The sequence below is a fragment of the Homo sapiens genome, chromosome 19 (assembly GCF_000001405.40).
Source record: "Homo sapiens chromosome 19, GRCh38.p14 Primary Assembly".
NCBI classification, from domain to species: domain Eukaryota; kingdom Metazoa; phylum Chordata; class Mammalia; order Primates; family Hominidae; genus Homo; species Homo sapiens.
In genome coordinates this window covers 5,548,477-5,570,033 of record NC_000019.10, presented here as the reverse complement: position 1 = coordinate 5,570,033, position 21,557 = coordinate 5,548,477, and the positions used below count along the sequence as shown (strand labels likewise).

General features: G+C 53.1%; 1 protein-coding gene across 2 annotated transcripts, besides 1 other annotated feature; it reads left to right on the top strand.

Annotated features, from left to right (window-relative positions):
• Positions 1-2,080: 2,080 nt before the first annotated feature.
• TINCR (TINCR ubiquitin domain containing) lies at positions 2,081-11,867 on the top strand. Of its 2 annotated transcripts, NM_001396408.1 has the most exons (3): positions 2,081-2,369; positions 7,823-7,952; positions 8,635-11,867. In NM_001396408.1, the coding sequence occupies exons 1-2, from the start codon at positions 2,110-2,112 to the stop codon at positions 7,824-7,826; spliced, it is 264 nt and encodes an 87-aa protein (NP_001383337.1). In that variant the 5' UTR covers positions 2,081-2,109; the 3' UTR covers positions 7,827-7,952; positions 8,635-11,867. The 2 variants fall into 2 exon arrangements, with proteins under 2 accessions (NP_001383337.1, NP_001383338.1); NM_001396409.1 differs by lacking the exons at positions 7,823-7,952; positions 8,635-11,867 and adding an exon at positions 7,085-7,399.
• Positions 8,693-9,489: an enhancer, noted in NCBI's record as "H3K4me1 hESC enhancer chr19:5560556-5561352 (GRCh37/hg19 assembly coordinates)". NCBI's record gives its function as "activates a minimal SCP1, AML or CMV promoter by ChIP-STARR-seq in naive H9 embryonic stem cells {active_cell/tissue: H9 hESC(naive)}" and the evidence as "EXISTENCE:reporter gene assay evidence [ECO:0000049][PMID:30033119]".
• Positions 11,868-21,557: the final 9,690 nt, after the last annotated feature.

The following is a 21,557-nucleotide window of genomic DNA, read 5'->3' as shown; positions in this document are numbered from 1 at the left end:
AAACCCCGTCTCTACTAAAAATACAAAAAATTAGCCAGGCTTGGTGGCGCATGCCTGTAATCCCAGCTACTCGGGAAGGCTGAGGCAGGAGAATTGCTTGCACCTGGGAGGCGGAGGTTGCGGTGAGCCGAGATTGTGCCATTGTACTCCACCCTGGGCAACAAGAGTGAAACTCTGTCTCAAAAAAAAAAAAAAAAAAAAAAGTGATGTTTGTGTAATGAATGGATTACAACAAAACTGCTAATGCTAGGTGGCCTGGGTTCGAATCCCAGCTCTGCCACTTTTCTCTCTGTTTCCTCTGGGAAATCTCTTTTCTTCTCTATGCCTCAGTTTTCTCACTTGTAAAATGGGAAGTCATAGTGTCATGAGAAAAGTAAGAGATGCTTCCCCCACCCCAATAAAGTACCTAGAAGACTGTCTGTCACTTAGCAGGTGCTCTTTTCTTTTCTTTTCTTTTTTGAGACGGAGTTTCCCTCTTGTTGCCCAGGCTAGAGTGCAATGGCAGATCTCCGCTCACCACAACCTCCACCTCCTGGGTTCAAGCGATTCTCCTGGCTCAGCCTCCTGAGTAGTTGGGATTACAGGCACCCACCACCACGCCTGGCTAATTTTTTTGTATTTTTTGTAGAGACGGGGTTTCTCTGTGTTGGTCAGGTAGATCTCGATCTCCCAACCTCAGGTGATCTGCCCACCTCGGCCTCCCAAAGTGTTGGGATTACAGGCGTTAGCCCCTGCACCCAGCCCTTCTCTTTTTTTCCTTCTCTTCCTCTCTCTCTCTCTTTCTTTCTTTCATTCTTTCTTTCCTCTTCTCTTTCTCTCTCTCTCCCTCTTTCTTTCTTTCTTTCTTTCTTTTTTTTTTTTTTTTTTGAGACGGAGTCTCGCTGTGTCTCCCAGGCTGGAATGCAGTGGCGCACGATCTCGGCTCACTGCAAGCTCCGCCTCCCAGGTTCACGCCATTCTCTTGCCTCAGCCTCCGGAGTAGCTGGGACTACAGGCGCCCGCCACCACGCCCGGCTAATTTTTTGTATTTTTGGTAGAGACGGGGGGGTTTCACCGCGTTAGCCAGGATGGTCTCGATCTCCTGACCTTGTGATCTGCCCACCTGGGCCTCCCAAAGTACTGGGATTACAGGCGTGAGCCACCACACCCGGCCATTTTTTTTTTTTTTTTTTTTTTTTTTTTTTTTGCGATAAGTCTCGCTCTGTGGCTCAGGCTGGAGTGCAGTGGCACAATCTCGGCTCACTGCAACCTCTGTCTGCGGGTTCAAGCGATTCTTCTGCCTCAGCCTCCTGAGTAGCTGGAACTACAGGCATGTGCCACCACGCCTGGCTAATTTTTGTACTTATAGTAGAGACGGGGTTTCACCATGTTGGCCAGGTTGGTCTCGAACTCCTGACCTCATGTGATCCGCCCACCTCAGTCTCCCAAAGTGCTGGGATTCCAGGCATGAGCCACCGCACCTGGCCTAAAAGTAAATTTTTTTTTTAATGTAGGCTGAGCGTGGTGGCTGAGGGTTATAATCCCACCGCTTTGGGAGGCCAAGGCGGAGAATCACTTGACGTCAGGAGTTCAAAACCAGCCTGGGCAACACGGCCAGGCCCCATCTCTACAAAAACTACAAAAGTGAGCTGGGCTTGGTGGCAGCGCCTGTAGTCCCAGCTACTTGAGAGGCTGAGGCGGGAGGATCGCTTGAGCCCGGGAGGTCAAGGCTGCAACGAACCATGATTGCGCCACTGCGCTCCAGCCTGTCCTTAAAAAGATCAAATAAAGTGGCCTCCCAGCCTCCCTCCCTGGAGCCTCCACCATGTAACCCCCTGGACATTCGCGCGTCTCCTTGGCTGGGATGACCTCGCTGATGGCTCTGTGCTGAGTGGCCACTCCGCCTCTAGACCCCCGGGCGCACTCTGGGGCCAGCAGTGGGGAGCGGACGCCTGAGGGGACCGTGGCACCCGCCCCGCCCCGCCGGGCCGGGCCTGCCCACTGCGTGCCGGGCGTGTCCGGGCGGGCGGAGCGCGGGCGCGGCGGGGGCGGGCGGCCAGGCTAGTCGGGCGGGTGCGCGGGGCGCTCGGGGCCCGGGGCCAGAGCTGGAGCCGGAGCCGGGCGGGCGCCATGGAGGGGCTGCGGCGGGGGCTGTCGCGCTGGAAGCGCTACCACATCAAGGTGCACCTGGCGGACGAGGCGCTGCTGCTACCGCTGACCGTGCGGCCGCGGGACACGCTCAGCGACCTGCGCGCCCAGCTGGTGGGCCAGGGCGTGAGCTCCTGGAAGCGCGCCTTCTACTACAACGCGCGGCGGCTGGACGACCACCAGACGGTGCGCGACGCGCGCCTGCAGGACGGCTCGGTGCTGCTGCTCGTCAGCGACCCCAGGTGGCCGCGGGGCTCGGGGTGGGGTGGGGCGGGGGCGGCGGCCGGGGACCCCTGGAGAGCGGCGGGGGAGGCGGGCGCCCAAGGCGGCCTCCCGGGCCGGCACTGCTTTCCCACCTCGCGCTGCCCGCCCGGCCTCTCTCCTGACCCGGCCTTGCCGGTGTCAGGTCTTGCTTTCGGGCTCTCTGTCTGTGCCTGTTTCTCTGCCTGTTTCTGTCTCTGCTGTTTTTCTGCCTCTCTCTCTTTTGTCTCTGTCACTCTCATCTTTGTCACTCTCTCGTCTCTGTCTCTCATCTCTGTCTCTTCTTCTTTTGTCTCTGTCTCTCATCTCTCTCCCTCTTCTTTCTGTCTCTTGTCTCTGACTCTTATCTCTGTGCCTCTCTTTGTCTCTTTCATCTCTCTCTTTTGTCTGTGTCTCTCTTTTATCTCTGTCTCTTTCATCTTTGTCTCTCTCATCTCTTTTGTGGCTGTCTCATCTCCATCTCTTATCTCTGTCTCCCTCTTGTTTCTGTCTCTTGTCTCTGTCTCTTTTATCTCTGCGTCTCTCATCTTTGTCTCCTCACCTCTCTCTCTTTTGTCTTTGTCTCTGTCTCTCTCTCCATTTTGGTCTCTGTTTTTTCCTCTCTGTGTGTCTCTCTCCATCTCTGCCTCTGTTTATTTCTTTCCCTGATGATTTGGTTGCCTGTGATTGTCTCTGTCTCTGTCTCTCTTTTCTCTGTCACTCTGTGTCTCTGCCCACTTCTCTCTCTGCTGTTTTCCTCCCTGTTTCTCCCTCATCTCTGTCTCCCTCTCTCTTTTCTGTCTCCCTCTCTGGTCTCTGTCTCCCCATTTTGGTCTCTGCTTTTTTCCTCTGTGTGTGTGTCTCTGTCTCTCTTCCCCTTTGTCTCTTTGTGTCTCTGCCCATTTCTGTCTCTGCTGTTTTTCTCCTTGTGTCTCTCTGTGTCTGTCTCTTTTGTCTCTTTGTCCATTTTTGTCTCTGTTTTTCTCTGTGTCTGTGTATGTGTGTGTCTCTCTCTCCCTGTCTCTCTGTCTCTTTGTCCATTTGTCTCTGTCTCTGCTGTTTTTCTCTCTGTCTCTCTGTGTCTCTGTCTCTGTGTCCCTGTCCAGTTCTGTCTGTGTGTGCGCGCATCTCTCTCTGTGTCTCTGTGAGTCTCTGTCTCTTTTGTCTCTGTCTCTCTCTGTGTCTCTGCCCATTTTGGTCTCTGCTTTCTTTCCTCTGTGTGTCTCTCCATTTCTGTCTCTCTTTCTCTGTCTCTCTCCATTTCTGTCTCTGCTCTTTTTCTCTCTGTGTGTCTCTTTTGTCTCTCTGTTTCTCTGCGTGTCTCTGTCCATTTCTGTCTCTTCCCGCTGTGTATTTCTCTCTCTGTGTCTCTGTCTCTGTTATTTTGGTCTCTGCTCTTTTTCTCGCTGTGTCTCAACATGTGTGTCTGTGTCTCTTTATCTCTCTGGTGTCTCTGCATTTTTCTCTGCTGTTTTTCTCTGTCTCTGAAGCTCTGTCTCTCTCTTCCTTCTCTGGTCTCTCCCTACCGCCTTATCTTTCCCACAGCCCCACTCCAGTGTCCGTTACCCACACTCACACTTGGATATCTGGGTCCCCAAAGAGGTCCCCTGGCCAAGACGACCCTCAAGTGGGGCGTCTTCTGGCCCAAGGAGGGGTCTGCAGAGAAGGGCGCTGGGGCCACGGGAACAGCTCACTGCCGGCCTGGGGCAGCTCTGGGAAATGGGTCGAGGATGGCCGAGAGGTGGTGAAGATGGTGGGGCCTCGTCTCAGAGCCTGGGACCACCTCCTTGGAAGCATTGAACAGGAGAGGGACGGGGGCCATGTGAATTACCCTGGATTTTATGGGGGTCACATTCACCAGCCCTCTAGAGGCTTGAGTCACCGAGCCTGGGTTGATGTTTTGAGGGCAGGAGCCTCAGATGCCACCCCGTTGCAGGAGTCTGGGGCTGCAATGGGGGCAGGAGAGGCCCCCTCCCCAGGCCCTCTTGAGGGAAGATCTTAGCGGGGACGGGGAGGCTGAGAGGATGATGAGGGATGGAGGTTCAGAGCTTGGGGCTAGGAGAGGGTGTTCTCGGCAGCGTACCTTCTATGAGGTCTGGGGGCTGGACGACCCTCAGACGTCCAGACTGTAATTATGCAGTACAGAGTCAGCATTTATTGTGTGCCTACTGTGTGCCAGACTCCATGCTGGACACTGAAATTCAGCAGTGACCCAGAGAGACCAGATTTCGCCTTCACAGAGCCTAGAGCCAAATAATAGCACAGGAGAATGTCAACTCGCAATTGGCGCTGTGGGGGATGCAGGGAAGGTGGAGAGGGATCAGTGACTGGGGGACGCCTCTCCGGAAAGGTGACATGTCAGGCTATGATGTGGAGGAGGTGGTTAAACAGAGAGTCAGGGAAGGGTGTTCCAGGCAGTAGGAACAGCCTGTGCAAAGGCCCTGAGGCAGGACTGCACCTGGCATGTTGGAGGAACAGCGAGGAGGCCCGTGTGGCTGGAGCAAGGGGGAGAGAGGGAGGAAGGGAGGGCAGGGAGGGGCCAGGGCAGTTCATGCAGGGCCTTGCGGACTGCAGGGAGGACTTGGGCCTTGACTCCGAGGGAGGTGGGAGCCATAGAGGGCTGTGGGCAGAGGAGGGACGGGACCTGACTCAATGCTCACAGGCAACCCCTGGCTGCAGCGGGGAGAACAGACTGTGATGGGGGGAGGGCTGGAGACAGGAGACCAGGGTGAGGTCCCAGTGAGCCATGCTGGAGGCAGAGAACAGAAGCCTTCAGAGGAGACAGTTTTGGCTGGGCGCAATGGTTCACACCTGCAATCCCAGCACTTTGGGGGGCCAAGGTGGGCGGATCACCTGAAGTCAAGAGTTCGAGACCAGCCTGGCCAACATGGCGAAACGCTGTCTCTACTAAAAATACAAACATTAGCCAGGCATAGTGATATACGCCTGTAATCCCAGCTACTTGGGAGGCTGAGGCAGGAGAATCGCTTGAACCTGGAGGCGGAGGTTGCAGTGAGCTGAGATCGTGCCTCTGCACTCCAGCCTGGACAACAGAGTGAGACTCCGTCTCAAAACAAAAGAAAAAAGAGAGAGTTTCAACCTCCTCTGGGCTCCCACCCTGTCCTAATGCCCTGCCCCTTGCCCATCCCTGACCACACACACAGCTGGGGTTGATGGCAGAGTCCAGCTTTGTCTTCCCCAACAGACAGGGGCCCCTATCTGCCTTTGCTGTTCACTGGCTGTGTGTCCCGAGGCAGCTAACCCACCCTCTCTGGGCATCAAATGGGTTCTGAGCTCCCCAGACCACTCCCAGACCTCTAGAGGCAGAGCAGGGGCTACTAGTGGATGGTGCAGCAGCAGCCGGGGAGGCCTCAGCTTCCCCATGTGAGAAATGAGAAAAACACTTGGGACCTGTCAGCGCAGACGGTACCCTAGGGAGAGAGAAGCTGCGTGGGCTGCTCGGGACAAACCTGCCAGGCCCTCTCTCACTTCCGGGTAGATAGGGCCCCCTCTTCTCCCTCCCCCAGCCTCTCTTGCCACCTCCTGTTTCTACACTCTGTGAAATGCAGTAGTGACAACATTTTCTGCCTCGAGGCAGCAGCGTTGCAGGGAGACAGGTTGTCACGGGAGCTAGCAGGCACTGAGTCATGGTCATGCTTTGAGAGCCTTTGAGATGCTAGGGGCTTTTCACGTGGCCTTACCGCTGTCCCCTGGCGAGGATGCTTTTATTTATTTATTATTTATTATTTTTGAGACGGGAGTCTTGCTCTGTCGCCCAGGCTGGAGTGCAGTGGCGCAATCTCGGCTCACTGCAACCTCTGCCTCCCGGGTTCAAGCGATTCTCCTGCCTCAGTCTCCTGAGTAGCTGGGATTACAGGCGCCCGCCACCATGCCTGGCTAATTTTTTTGTATTTTTAGTAGAGACCGTTTCACCATGTTGGCCAGGCTGGTCTCAAACTCCTAACCTCAGGTGATCTGCCTACCTCAGCCTCCCAAAGTGCTGGGATTACACGCGTGAGCCACCGTGCCTGGCCGGGTGCCGTTATCATTGGCGGTTTACAGGTGGAGAAGCTGAGGCAGAGTAAGATTAAGCTGGGAAGGGGCAGAGCCAGGGTCTAAACCCAGCTTTAAAGCCACGCCCTTCATCACTAAACCTTCTCCCTGCTCCATTAGTGGGAACAGTTGTTATTATTCTGATTTTATTGACATCAGTCTATTCCTCTCTTCCTCCCAAGCCCCTCTATCTGTCCTTCAGCTGGTTCCATCAGCTCCGCCTTCAAAGTCTAACCATAATCCTCCCACTTCTCAACCCCTGGCCCAGCCCAGTTGCCCCCCACCAAGGTCCGCAGCCCCTGCCCTTGTCCCCTACAAGTCTGTCCTCCCCGTAGCAGGTGCCAGAGGGCGCCTGTGAGCCCCTGAGTCGGGGCGTGTCCCTCCTCTGCCGGCAGCCCTCCATGGCTCCCACCTCCCTCAGGGTCAAAGCCCAAGTCCTTCCTGAGGCTTGCAAGACCCTGGATGACCTGCTGTATTCCCTCCCTGCTTGCTCCTCCTCCCTCTCTTCCCCTTCCTCACTCTGCTCCAGCCACACAGGCCTCCTCGCTGCCTCAGAGCCTCTGGACAGGCTGTTCCTTCAGCCTGGAATGCTGTTCCCTCAGGTCCCCAACTCCCTCTCTTCCTGCAGCCCTCCCTGACCATCCTGTTTAAAATTGCATTCCAGCGAGGCGCAGCGGCTCACACCCGCAATCCCAGCACTTTGGGAGGCTGAGGCAAGCAGATCACTTGAGTCCAGGAGTTCAAGACCAGCCTGGCCAACATGGTGAAACCCCATCTCTACTAAAACTACAAAAATTAGCCGGGCATGATGGCGCATGCCTGTAATCCCAGCTACTGGGGAGGCTGAGGCAAGAGAATCGCTTGAGTCTGGGAGGCGGAGGTTGCAGTGAGCTGAGATCGTGCCATTACACTCTAGTCTGGGTGACAGGGTGAAACTCCGTCTCTAAAGAAATAAATAATAAAATTTTATTTCACGCCATCCCTGCTTTCTCTCTTTCCCCATCACTTGTCAGCAGCCGACTTCTCTACGTTTTACTTATTTTTTTCACCTGTCTCCTGCAGTAGACTGTAAACTCTGTGAGGGTACTGCCGTCCATCTTGTTCCCTGCTGGATTGCCAGTTCAGTGCCTGGCACATAGTAGGTGCTTAATAAATGTTAGTGAGATGTATTGTCTCACTAACATAATCGTGAGCAGAGGCAAGGATTGGGCTGCTCAGAATATTTTTCTGGAGCTCTAGCGGTGCCTGGATGCAGGGGAGGGAATTTCTGGGTCAGAGGTGAGCCCTGGCAGGGGCAGGAAGAGGCACCAGCCAGACAGTGGGCAGAATAGGGAAGCCTTGAACGCCAAGGCAAGGGCTATGTTTTTTCTGCAACCTGTGTCTTTCTGTCTCCCTCTTTCAGGTAGTCTGGGTTGGAGGAGGCAGAGCCATGACCAAGGGGACCTGGGTACTGGCTGAAGGAATAGGCTGGGGTAGAGGGCACTTTTGGAAGGCACTTCTCCTGCCTCCCGGGAGCCTAGATCTCACTCCAGGTAAGTAATTGTAGTAGTTGAGAAAGAGAAAGGACCTTAGAGATTGTGGAGACCATAGATGGGGAAACTGAGGCCCAGAGAGGAGAAGAGACAGATGTTATTGACCATCATCCCCCTCCATACACTTATGCTTCTGGCCTCTAGGGTAGGGACATGGCCTTGGTGTCTCATTTCTTTTTGGACTAACACGTGGACCAGAGCCGTGTTGCCCCTGACTTGCTGGGTGACCTTGGGAAAATTGCTTCTCCTCTCTGGGCTCTGTTACCTGTCTCCTTACAATAAAGGATTGAGCTTTGATTTGGCTTTACTGCACTCTTTGCCTGCAATTCCTGTGACTGCCATCAGGTGGCAGAAAACAGCCAAGTTCCAAGAGAATCGCTTGAACCCAGGAGTCAGAGGTTACAGTGAGCCGAAATCACGCCATTGCACTCCAGCCTGGCGACAGAGCAGGACTCTGTCTCAAAAAAAAGAAAGAAAAAAGAAAACAGCCAAATTCACCAGGGGCCATCCCTGTTCCTCTTAAAGGACACAAGGGACATCCACAGGAGGGGATGACTGCAGATCACTGTCCGTGTCAGGGATGTTAGGTAAAAGGAAAGGACAAATGGCTGGAGAACTGGTGTTTCACCCTTCCCTGGTCCTGGATTGAAACGGGTTTACCCTTCCCCTCCTGTTGTTCCAGGGTCTGGGCTCCCAGGTGGACCATGAAACCCTGGCCTGACCAGCTGATGCACACTGCTTCAGACACTCCTGCTGGAGCCCCAGTCCCTGACAAGGACCTAGGACATTTTTGCTCCTGCCCAGCCTATCGGGAGGGAGCCTTGAGCCTTTCAGCTCTGCTGTGTGACTTTGAGGTTGTTGCTCCCCTCTTGGGGCCCTGGGTGCCCTGTCTTCAGTGGAAAGCACTGTGCCACCTTGGAAAGCTCCCATGGGCAGCCAGAGGGCATCGCAAGAAGAGAAGCACAGAAGGGGCAGGAGAGACACTCAGAGGCACTTCCGCTCTTGCCCAGGACATTTTCCCAGCCACACCTTTGCCCAAGCCGTGCCCCCTGCCTGGAGCACTTTTCAACCTCTTCTCTGCAGCTCCAATACACCTGGGATTGCAGTCTCCTCCAGGAAGTCTTCTCAGATTCCCTCCTTCCCAGCCAGAGAGCACCTAGCCTTCTTTGGGGCCCCCACAGGCCCTTTGTGCAGTGAACAGCCCTGGCTGGGGGTGCAGCCAGTCGTGTCCGAACTCTCCAATGACTAAGCGGGGAGATGCGGACATCCTAGCTCCTTCTCAGGCCTCCAACTGTGCCCCATTTCCACCCCCAAATACCTCCCCAGGAGGCACCTGTGCCCACCCCCTGGGCTGTTTCCCCCTTCCCCTTAAATCCGGATGCCTCGTCTTGCATAGGGTCTTGGGGCAGCGGGGAAGGGGTTCTGAAGAACTCTGGCCAAGAGGACGAGGATCTGGGGGTGGGGAACTGGGCCTAGCTGTGGGAGGTCATCGCGGGGCATTGCAGGGAGTGCGTTGTGGGAATTCCGGGTGGAGACCCTCAGGGCAGTGTGCCGGGCCTCCGTTGCACCTCTGACCTGCAGCCACGTCATCGTTGCGCAGCCCCTGGGGAGGGTCTTTGGGGAGGGGGTGCCGAGGCTACGCATGTCCTCGAGGGCCGTGTACACTCTCCAGGCACCATGGGCGGAGGCGCCAGAGGCTGGGAAGAAATAATGTTTTAGTTAAGAGTCCTGTTGGCTGCAGGACTCAGAGCATGGACAGGTGGATAGTAAATCACCACCACGGGGACAGCCGTGCCCAGACTGTGCGTTTGCTTAGCTCGGGGACAGCACTTGGCCCGGGGTCTCCTGCTCGCCTCCCTTCAGAGCATCTGCCAAACTTCGGGCATCTACCCTGCAATTCCCGCTTGGCTGAGAGGAGGGGGAGAAGGAGGGGAAGAGAGAGGAGCCCCACTTCACTCCGGCAGGCAGACCTGCTGGAGCTGCTTTGCAGAATGACTTGGGTCTTGCTGGCCCCTGGGTGTGCCTGGAGGGGGGTCTTCCTATCCCCCTCCACCTCTCCCCTTGGTGCCTAACCCAGGACTTTGTCCCCAGAGACCCACTGTGTGCCCCCTGGAGCTCCTCCTAGAGCAGAGTCTGCTGCTGTCTGTTCTGCAGAGGGTAGCCTGAGGCCCAAGGAGGTTGTCAGGGACACACAGCAGGGGGAGGCAGCCCAGATCCCTGCTCATGCGTGGTTTGGGCCTCTGCTAACAGCTGGGCCACATGCGTGTATCTAGAGCCTGGGTCCCCTCTGTCCTCATTTCCCTGTGCATATTCAGGGACATGCCTCGTCAGGGTTTGGCAAGAAAATGGGGCATTTAATAATCTCCCCAGTTTCATTCCTTGGTCCTTACTCCATGCCAGGACTTGTGCACATCTTTTTGGAGCCCTGTCTCACTTGATTGACAGCCGGCCAGGCGCGGTGGCTCACGCCTGTAATCCCAGCACTTTGGGAGGACGAGGCAGGCGGATCATGAGGTCAGGAGATGGAGACCATCCTGGCTAACACGGTGAAACCCCGTCTCTACTAAAAGTACAAAAAAAATAGCCGGGCCTGGTGGCGGGCGCCTGTAGTCCCAGCTACTTGGTAGGCTGAGGCAGGAGAATGGCGGGAACCCGGGAGGCAGAGGTTGCAGTGAGCTGAGATCACGCCACTGCACTCCAGCCTGGGCGACAGAGCGAGACTCCGTCTCAAAAAAAAAAAAAAAAAAGATTGACAGCCTCACTGCTCAGGGGCCAGGATAACAGCCCATTTTACAGATGGCTTTTGGCTTGCCCAAGGTCACCACCCTCTGAACTGAGGCGTCCCCAACCCATGCCGGGAGCTGGTGGAGGAAGTGGGGAAGGGTTTCCCGCTTCTCCACTGGGGGTGGAGGTGGGAGAAAGCATTTTCAGGGTGTTTTGACATTTAACAAACAGTATGCAAATCACATGCAAATCGCATGCAAATCACCACCCATTTCTTAAGCCTCGACAGCGCTGGCATGTTCTGAAATAATAATGTTGGACCTGTCCCTTGATGATGACCTGGGTCGGGAGGTGCACGGCCTTTTCCTTCCTCCGTCTTCCCTTCCCTTCCCTTCCCTTCCCATCTGTTCTCCCTTCCTTCGCCCCCTTCCTTTCCTCTCCCTCCCTATCTTCCATTTTTCTCTTCTTCCTTCACATCATTTGTCCAAGACCTCCCTGGCCTGAGATAAACATAAGTTGCAAAAGTGGCTTCCTGCAGCCCATTTTCCAGGTTGGGAAACTGAGGCATGGGCCTAAGGTCCCACAGCCACACCGAGGAAAGCAGCCCCCACTGAATGTCACCATGCACCAAAGTGCATGGTCCTCGTGACACAAAGAGGGGAGATGACAGTGGCTGGAGTTGTCAGAGCTGCTTTGAGGAAGCTCCAGGCCTGATAGGCTTGACAGGGCCAAGGGGAACTATTGTGGAATGTCTTGGCCTTGAATGACAGGCTGCTGATTTTGGATCTGGAGAAAGCTCACACTGACTCTTCCTGCTCCCCCAGTCTGTTTTTCTCCTGCTACTCCATCCATGTATCCCTGAGTTTGGGCCACAGTCCCTCCACTTGGTTTGCATGTCCCACCTTCTTTGTTTGGCAAGCTCCTATTCATCCTTCAAAGCCCTAGCTTCAATACCTGCTACTTCATGCAGCCATTGCTTATCCTTCAAGGAGAGCCTACTTCCCTCAAGGACCCTGCTGCTTCCAGTCTCACCTTCTGACTCACTCGGGATCCACTGAACTGGGAGGTCTGTGTCTCCTCCCAGCAGAGTCATCACTACCTTTGGGGCCGCAGGATCACCCAGCTTGGAACTAGATACAGAAATGCTGTTTTGAGAGTGTACTGAATAAAAGATTACATGTTTGAAAACAAGATTGAGTTTAAGCTTCCTAACTTGGCCTTGGAGCTCTCTTGGGCTTCATTCTACCCCATCTATGGTTTTGGGCTGAGCTCTACTTCTACCTTCCTCTCACTCCCCTCCAGGCCTTTGCACATGCTGTTACTCCAGGTGACGCTGTTACTCCAGGTGACACTGTTACTCCAGTTGACCCCAGGCCAGCCCCCTCCCATATCTGGGCTGTGAAACTCAGGGAATCCTGCTCGCTCCCCGCCAGGGCCTCTCAGACTCTGGGCTCCACCCTGAGCAAGTCTGGGCTATGAGGAGTTTCGGGTGAGACTTGGCAGCTGCCGTCTCGCTAAGGCCCGCGGCGTTCTGGGGAGGGGCCACCTCCCGTCTTGGCCGCCCACCTAGTTTGTGCTCCAAGAAGGTCCAAGGGAATTCTCCTAGGGGGCAAGTGAGCCCAGGCGGTTCCCAGAGGAGATGTCAGCGGTTTAGCCAGAAACTGCCAGGACCTGGAATTGCCACTTCCTTCCTGCCCTGCCTCTATCTCTCTGTTCTCTTTCTGTGCGACTCCAGGCTGGGCTCTGGCATTCTCCTAACTCTGAGCATTCATTCAATGAGAGATATAAAGACAGATGCTGCTCCGGCTGCCACAGACAGTGGGGCAGGTTGTTCACTGCACAAGAGGACCCAGCTGCAGAGGTGAGAGGGCCCCAGGAAGGGGCCCTTCTTTGTAATTCATCCAACAGCTCCCATACAAGTTAGTGCTGGTTCTGACCTTGCCATCTTTCTTTCTCTCTCTCTCCTCTCCCTTCATCTGTCTCTGTGTCTCAGTCTCTTATTTTATTTTTGTTGAGACAGGGTCTTGTTCTGTTGTCCAGGCTGGAGTGCGGTGGCACAATCACAGATCACTGCAGCCTCAACCTCCCCAGCTCAAGCGATCCTCCCGCCTCAGGCTCTTGAGTAGCTGGGATTTTAGGCACACGCCACCACACCCAGCTAATTTTTAAATTTTTGTAGAGATGGGGTTTCGCCATGTTGCCCAGGCTGTTCTCAAACTCCTGGGCTCAAGCCATCTACCCGTCTCGGCCACCCGAAGTGCTGGGATTGCAGGCATCAGCCACTGCGCCCGGCCTCTTTTTCATCTGCTCTCTGTCGCTCCATTTCTGTCTGTGGTTCTGTTTGTATCTCGTTATCTCTCCCTCTCTTCAATATCTCTCTCTCTGCGTTTCTCAGTTCGTCTGCATCTCAGTCTCTGTCTCTCTCCATGTCTCTGTATTTTTTTCTCAAATCTCCTATTGAAAAAGACCCCTCTTTCCCTAGGCCAGGCTCAGTGGCTCATGACTATAATCCCAACACTTTGGGAGACCGAGGCAGGAGGATTGCTTGAACCTAGGAGTTCGAAACCAGCCTGGGAAACATGGCGAGACCCAGCCTTTACAAAAGCATTTAAAAATTATCCAGGTGTGGTGGCATGCCCCTGTGGTCCCAGCTACTTGGGAGGCTGAGGCAGGAGGATCACTTGAGCCCAGGAGTTTGAGACCACGGTGAGCTATAACCATACCACTGCACTCCAGACTGGGTGACAGAACGAGACCCTGTCTCTAGAAAAAAAAAAAAAAAGAAAAAATAGGCTGGGCGCGGTGGCTCACTTTGGGAGGCTGAGGCGGGCGGATCACGAGGTCAGGAGATTGAGACCATCCTGGCTAACACAGTGAAAAATTAGCTGGGTGTGGTGGCGGGTGCCTGTAGTCCCAGCTACTCGAGAGGCTGAGGCAGGAGAATGGCGTGAACCCGGGAGGTGGAGCTTGCAGTGGGCCGAGATTGCGCCACTACACTCCAGCCTGGGCGACAGAGCAAGACTCCATCTCAAAAATAAATAAATAAATAAATAAAAATAAAATAAAAAATTAAGAAATATAACATTAAAATTTAAAAAATAAATAATGAAAACATTAGTTGGCTGGGCACAGTGGCTCATGCCTGTAATCCTAGCACTTTAGGAGGTCAAGGCTAGAGGATTGCTGGAGGCTAGGAGTTCGAGACCAGCCTGGACATGGGCAACATGGCAAAACCCTGTCTCTACTAAAAATACAAAAAAATAGCCAGGCGTGGTGGTGGTGCACACCTGTAGTCCCAGCTACTTGGGAGGCTAAGGCAGGAGAATGGCGTGAACCCGGGAGGCGGAGCTTGCAGTGAGCCGAGATTGTGCCACTGCACTCCAGCCTGAGTAACAGAGCAAGACTCCATCTCAAAAAAAAAGAAAAAGAAAAAAAGACCCCCTTTCCTTCCAATATCGTAAGCATGACCTCTGGGGTGTCTTCAGAAGCTGCTGGGATCATGCATTCCACAATCACTGATTAAGCACCTCCAGTTTGCAGGGCTCTGAGGACAGCGTGGTGACTAGGATACCCAGTCAAGCTCCCCACGGAGTTCACGGCCCAACAAAAGCCACAGAAGCTGCAGGGCAAGCGCATGGCCCCTGAGACTCCCCAGAAACCTCTCCCACACACAACCTTCCTCTGAATGACCTTGGGTGTTCTTTGTCCCTCGCTGGGCCTCAGTTTCCCTGCCTGCCCAAGAAGGGAAGTGTTTGGGATAGCCAGGCATTCGGTGTTTGCTGGCAGACAAATCCTGACTAACCCCCGTGCCCAAATGGATTTGAAAGAACCCTCAAAAAGGAAAACAGTCATAAGAAAGAAAAAAAAACCCGGCCAGGCGCAGTGGCTCACTCCTGTAATCCCAGCACTTTGGGAGGCTGAGGCGGGCAGATCACGAAGTCAAGAGATCGAGACTATTCTGGCCGACATGGTTAAACCCTGTCTCTACTAAAAATATAAAAATTAGCCAGGCGTGGTGGCAGGCGCCTGTAGTCCTAGCTACTTGGGAGGCTGAGGCAGAATTGCTTGAACCCGAGAGGCGGAGGTTGCAGTGAGCCAAGATCACGCCACCGCACTCCAGCCTGGCAACAGAGCGAGACTCCGTCTCAAAAACAAACAAACCAAAAAAAAAAAAAAAAAACAACACAGAGCCGACCACTGACCTTGCAGGGTGATGCACCTGGGGCAGAAGCAGCCTCACTACCACCCCTTGGAGCATCACGGAAACTTATCCATCTCTTTCCTTGGTGGCCCCTGGCTATCCACTGAAGGCTGCTGGCCTCACTATGAGGGCTCCAGGCCTGGCCCTGAGGTCCCCTGACTTGGCACTGACCTCACACTTGTGCTTTAAGCTTCAGACCTACTAAACCCCTTGCTGGGCTCCAGCCACAAGGTTTTTTTCACAGGCTATTTCTTTTCTTTTCTTTCTTTTTTTTCTTTTTTTGAGACAGAGTCTAGCTCTGTTGCCCAGGCTGGAGTGCAATGGCGCTATCTTAGCTCACTGCAACCTCCACCTCCTGGGTTCAAGCGAACCAGGAGGTGAGAATCCTGTCTCAGCCTCCTGAGTAGCTGGGACTACAGGCACACATCGCCATGCCCTGCTAATTTTTGTATTTTTAGTAGAGACGGGGTTTCACCATGTTGGCCAGGCTGGTCTTCAACTCCTGACCTCAGGTGATCCGCCCGCCTTGGCCTCCCAAAGTGCTGTGAGCCACCGCACCCAGCCTGCATGGGCTATTTCTGTATATGAAATACCCTCTCCCAACCTTTCACCTTTCACCCTGTGATTTGCAGGTTCAATGTCACTTCCTTGGGGAGGCCCCCAAAACAAGTTATGTTCCTGTTGTTTTGTATTCTCACAACATCTTGTTCTTTTCCTTTGTAGCATTAATTATTTATATTATTATTCATTCAATGTATGTTTTCCCCACTAGCCTGTGGGCACCATGAAGACGGGGAAGAGGTCTGGTTTGGTCACTGCTGCAGTACACAGCGTTTAATAACCCAGCGCCAGGGAGCGGTGGGGAGCCAGGAACACCTTTGCTCCCTTCCCAGGCTCAATGAGGCCCCCTCTCCACCATAGTTCCTGCCACCACTGGGCCTTGGTCCAGGTGACCAAGGGGCACGGAGGTTTGGGATTGGGATTCCAGGCACTCTGGCTCCTGCCGCCGTGATAAATGGGGAGAATTCAGAATTAATTATCGACTGCTCTGCTGAGCCGGCCTGATCTGGGCAGATAAAGAGCGTGGGCGCCACTGCATCTGCCCAGCGCTTCTCAGAAGTTTATTAGAGGATGGGAGGCAGTTGGCTGATGGGAGGAGTCTGGAATGCATTAGAGCCAGAGCTGCTGGGGGCAAGGCTGTGGCTCTGCTGGGCCACTTGGGGCAACACGCTCTTCCTCTCTGAGCCTTGGTTTTCTCATTTGGAAAAAGGGAAGTAAAAAAGAAAATCCTACCCCAGCAGTTTGGGATGCCAAGGTGGGCGGATCACCTGAGGTCATGAGCTCGAGACCAGCCTGGACAACATGGCGAAACCCTGTCTCTACTAAAAATACAAAAATTAGCTGGGTGTGATGGCGGATGCCTGTGATCCCAGGTACTTGGGAGGCTGAGGCACTAGAATCCCTTGAACCCGGGAGGCGGAAGTTGCTGTGAGCCGAGATTGCACCACTGACCTCTCTGAGCCTTGGTTTTCTCATTTGGAAAAAGGCAAGTAAAAAAAAAAAAAAACAGCCGGGCGCGGTGGCTCACGCCTGTAATCCCAGCACTTTGGGAGGCCAAGGCAGGCGGATCATGAGGTCAGGAGATTGAGACCATTATGGCTAACACGGTGAAACCCATCTCTACTAAAAATACAAAAAAATTAGCCGGGCGTGGCAGCGGGCGCCTGTAGTCCCAGCTACTCCGGAGGCTGAGGCAGGAGAATGGCGTGAACCCGGGAGGCGGAGCTTGCAGTGAGCCGAGATCGCGCCGCTGTACTCCAGCCTGGGCGACAGAGCGAGACTCCGTCTCAAACAAAAAAAAAAAAAGAAAAGAAAAATCCTTATATGTTGAGATAAGTTTTTTGGGGAATCACCAAGAGCAAAGAAAGCAAAGTACACAGTAGGTTTCATGCGTGTCCATGTGAAGAGACCACCAAACAGGCTTTGTGTGAGCAGCATGGCTGTTTATTTCACCTGGGTGCAGGCCGGCTGAGTCCGAAAAGAGAGTCAGCGAAGGGAGATAGGGGTGGGGCCGTTTTATAGGATTTGGGAAGGTAATGGAAAATTACAGTCAAAGGGGGTTGTTCTCTGGTGGGCAGGGGTGGATCTCACAAAGTACATTCTCAAGAGTGGGGAGAATTACAAAGAACCTTCTTAAGGGTGGGGGAGACTACAAAGTACATTGATCAGTTAGGGTGGGGCAGGAACAAATCACAATGGTGGAATATCACCAGTTAAGGCTGTTTTTACTTCTTTTGTGGATCTGCAGTTACTTCAGGCCATCTGGATGTATACGTGCAAGTCACAGGGGATGCGATGACCTGGCCTGGGCTCAGAGGCCTGACATTCCTGCCTTCTTATATTAATAAGACAAATAAAACAAAATAGTGTTGAAGTGTTGCAGCGGCGAAAATTTTTGGGGGGTGGTATGGAGAGAGAACGGGCGATGTTTCTCAGGGCTGCTTCGAGCGGGATTAGGGGCGGCGTGGGAACCTAGAGTGGGAGAGATTAAGCTGAAGGGAGGTCTTGTGGTAAGGGGTGATATTGTGGGGATGTTAGAAGAAACATTTGTCGTATAGAATGATTGGTGATGGCCTGGATACGGTTTTCAATGAACTGAGAAGCTAAACGGAAGATAGAAGGTCTGAAGAAAAGGAGGAGAAAAATGGGTATTAAAGGACTAAGAATTGGGAGGGCCCAGGACATCCAATTAGAGAGTGCCCAAGGGGGTTCAGCGTAATTACTTTCTTGGTTGGCAAGTTTTTGGGCTCTATCCTTGAGTTTTTTTATGTTGTCATACACCAGGCCAGATTGATTTAGGTAAAAACAACACTCCTCATTTAAGAATATGCAGAGTCCTCCTTTTTCAGCAGTAAGTCAGTCAAGGCCTCGGTGGTTTTGGAGGACAACTGCAGCTAAAGAGTCAACTTGGGCCTGGAGGACTGATAAAGTTTGTGATTTTGAGGGCCTCTAAAAGTATTAAAGCAGCAGCAGCCGCTGCACGCAGACATGAGGGCTAGGTTAAAACAGTAAGGTCAAGTTGTTTGGACAGAAAGGCTACAGGGTGTGGTCCTGGCTCTTGTGTAAGAATTCCGACCACGCTAACCATGCCTAGGAAGGAAAGGAGTTGTTGTTTTGTAGGTGCTGGGGTTTGAGAGGTCAGTCGGACACGATTGGCAGGGAAAGCACGTGTGTTTTTGAGAATTATGCCGAGATAGGTAACAGATGAGGAAGAAATTTGTGCTTGATTGAAGTAATGGGGGCTGTCTGTGAAGCTTTGCAGCAGTACAGCCTTGGTAATTTGCTGAGCCTAATGGGTGTCAGGGTCAGTCTAAGTGAAAGCAAAGAGAGGCTGGGACGAGGGGTGCAGGGGAACAGTGAAAAAAGCATCTTTAAGATGGAGAACAGAATAGTGAGTTGTGGAGGAACGGATTGAGGACAAAAGAGGGTACGGGTTGGGCACCACAGGGTGGATGGCAAAACAATTTGGTTGATAAGACGCAGATCCTGAACTAATCTGTAAGACTTATCCGGTTTTCGGACAGGTAAAATGGGGGAATTGTAAGGAGAGTTTATAGGTTTTAGAAGCCCATGCTATAGCAGGCGAGTGATAACAGGCTTTAATCCTTTTAAAGCATGCTGTGGGATGGGATATTGGCGTTGAGCGGGGTAAGGGTGATTAGGTTTTAATGGGATGGTAATGGGCATGTGATCAGTTGCCAGGGAAGGAGTAGAGATGTCCCATACTTGTGGCTTAAGGTGGGGGGATACGAGAGGAAGACGTGAAGGAAGCTTTGGGCTGGGGAGAAGGGCGGCAATGAGATGCGGCTGTAGTCCAGGAATAGTCAGGGAAGCAGATAATTTGGTTAAAGTATCTCGGCCTAATAAGGGAACTGGGCAGGTGGGGATAACTAAAAAAGAGTGCATAAAAGAGTGTTGTCTAAGTTGGCACCAGAGTGGGGGAGTTTTCAGGGGTTTTGAAGCCTGGCCGTCAATACCCACAACAGTTATGGAGGCAAGGGAAACAGGCCCTTGAAAAGAAGATAATGTGGAGTGGGTAGCCTCCGTATTGATTAAGAAGGGGACGGACTTACCTTCCACTGTGAGAGTTACCCGAAGCTCGGCGTCCGTGATGGTCTACGGGGCTTCCGAGGCGATCGGGCAGCGTCAGTCTTCAGCCGCTAAGCCGAGAAGATCTGGGAAGGAGTCAGTCAGAGAGCCTTGGGCCAGAGTTCCAGGGGCTCTGGGAGTGGCTGCCAGGTGAGTTGAACAGTCCGATTTTCAGTGGGGTCCCACACAGATGGGACGCGGCTTAGGAGGAATCCCGGGCAGCGGGCATTCCTTGGCCCAGTGGCCAGATTTCCGGCACGTGTAGCAAGCTCCTGGGGGAGGAGGTTCTGGAGGAACGCCTGGCCGCTGCGGTTCAGGCATTTGGAAGTTCTTGTGTGCTGGAGATGTGGCTGGGGTTTGTCTCACAGTGGAGGCAAGGAATTGCAACTTTTTTCTATTATTGTACACCTTGAAGGCGAGGTTCATTAAGTCCTGTTGTGGGGTTTGAGGGCCGGAATTTAATTTTTGGAGTTTTATTTAATGTCGGGAGCAGATTGGGTAATAAAATATATTTTGAGAATAAGACGGCCTTTTGACTTTTTAGGGTCTAGGGCTGTAAAGTGTCTCAGGGTTACTGCCAAACAAGTCATGAACTGGGCTGGGTTTTTATATTTGATGAAAAAGAGCCTAAACGCTTCTGATTTGGGATAAAGAAAAAGGAGCATTAACCTCGACTATGCCTTTGGCTCCAGCCACCTTTTTAAGAGTAAATTGCTGGGCAGGAGGGGGAGGGCTAGTCACGGAACGAAACTGTAAGCCGGACCAGGTGTGAGGAGGGGAGGCGATAAAAAAATGACAGGATGCAGGAGCAGAGGCTGAGGAAGAATTGGGACTTAGCTTGGGCTGGCGAGGAGGGGAGAGGTCAGATGGGTCTGTAGAAAAGGAAGATGAGAAAGACTCAGCGACGCTTGGGGTTGGGACTGAGGGGACAGGTGGGAGGGAAAGAAGGAAGATTTGGGACGAGTTGCACTGGGCACAGAGAGTAGGAAGGGACTGATGGACTTCAGGCACCTCAGACCATTTGCCCATTTTACGACAAGAATTATTTAGATCTTGTAGGATGGAAAAATTGAAAGTGCCGTTTTCCGGCTATTTGGAACTACTGTCGAGCTTGTATTGGAGTCAAGCGGCATTGCAGAAGAAAATAAGGCATTTAGGTTTTAGGTCAGGTGTGAGTTGAAGAGGTTTTAAGTTTTTGAGAACACAGGCTAAAGGAGAAGGAGGAGGAATGGAAGGTGGAAGCTTACCCATAGTGAAGGAGGCAAGCCCAGAAAAAAGAGTAGAGACACGGAGAAGGGGTGGGGGGTTCTCGCCCTCCAGAAAAGCAGAGAAGGGGTTGGGGCACGGAAGTAAGGGATTGGGGCACAAAGAGGTCAGGGTGTGGAAATAAGGGATTGGGGTGCAGAGATATAAGAGGTTGGGGTGCGGAAATAAGCGATTGGGGGTTTCTTGCCCCCTAGGAAAGCGGGACTTGCCACTGAGGGTGAAGGAGAAGGGGTTGAGGGGTACTTGCCCCTGCCCCAGGAAAGCGGGACTTGCCACTAAGGGTGAAGGACCAAGGCGGGCGTCCCTGCGTGGTCTGACACCCTTGAAACGTGAGTGTATAATCAGAGAGGCGTCCCTGCAATGATTAAACACCAAGGGAAGGCTGCCTTCCCAGTCCGTGACCGGCGCCGGAGTTTTGGGTTCACGGATAAAACATGTCTCTTTTGTCTCTACCAGAAAATGAAAGGAATTGAAATTAAGAGAAGGGAGAGATTGAAATGTGGCGCCAAGATTGAAAGGAGAAAGAGGTTGAGGGATAGTGAGGGAGGTTGGAGAAGAGAGTAAAAAGAGGCCGCTTACCGGATTTGAAATTGGTGGGATGTTTCCTGGGCTGGTTGGACTGAGGACCTGAGGTGGTAGGTGGATCTTTCTCACGGAGCAAAGAGCAGGAGGACAGGGGATTGACCTCCCAAGGGAGGTCCCCCGATCCGAGTCACGGCACCAAATTTCATGCGCGTCTGTGTGAAGAGACCACCAAACAGGCTTTGTGTGAGAAGCATGGCTGTTTATTTCACCTGGGTGCAGGCCGGCTGAGTCCGAAAAGAGAGTCAGCGAAGGGAGATACGGGTGGGGCCGTTTTATAGGATTTGGGAAGGTAATGGAAAATTACAGTCAAAGGGGGTTGCTCTCTGGTGGGCAGGGGTGGATCTCACAAAGTACATTCTCAAGGGTGGGGAGAATTACAAAGAACCTTCTTAAGGGTGGGGGAGACTACAAAGTACATTGATCAGTTAGGGTGGGGCAGGAACAAATCACAATGGTGGAATGTCATCAGTTAAGGCTGTTTTTACTTCTTTTGTGGATCTTCAGTTACTTCAGGCCATCTGGATGTATACGTGCCAGTCACAGGGGATGCGATGGCCTGGCCTGGGCTCAGAGGCCTGACAGTAGGTATCTAATAAATGCTGTAGCTCACGCCTTTAATCCCAGTAATTTGGGAGGCCAAGGCAGGCATCACTGGAGCTCAGGAGTTCAAGACCAGCCCG

Excerpts from the sequence above, each read along its gene's own strand:
- TINCR (NM_001396409.1), top strand. The coding sequence starts at position 2,110 with ATGGAGGGGCTGCGGCGGGGGCTGTCGCGCTGGAAGCGCTACCACATC. Across the intron at positions 2,370-7,084 it reads CTGCTCGTCAGCGACCCCAG|CGAGGCGCAGCGGCTCACAC; the intron begins GTGGCCGCGGGG and ends ATTGCATTCCAG.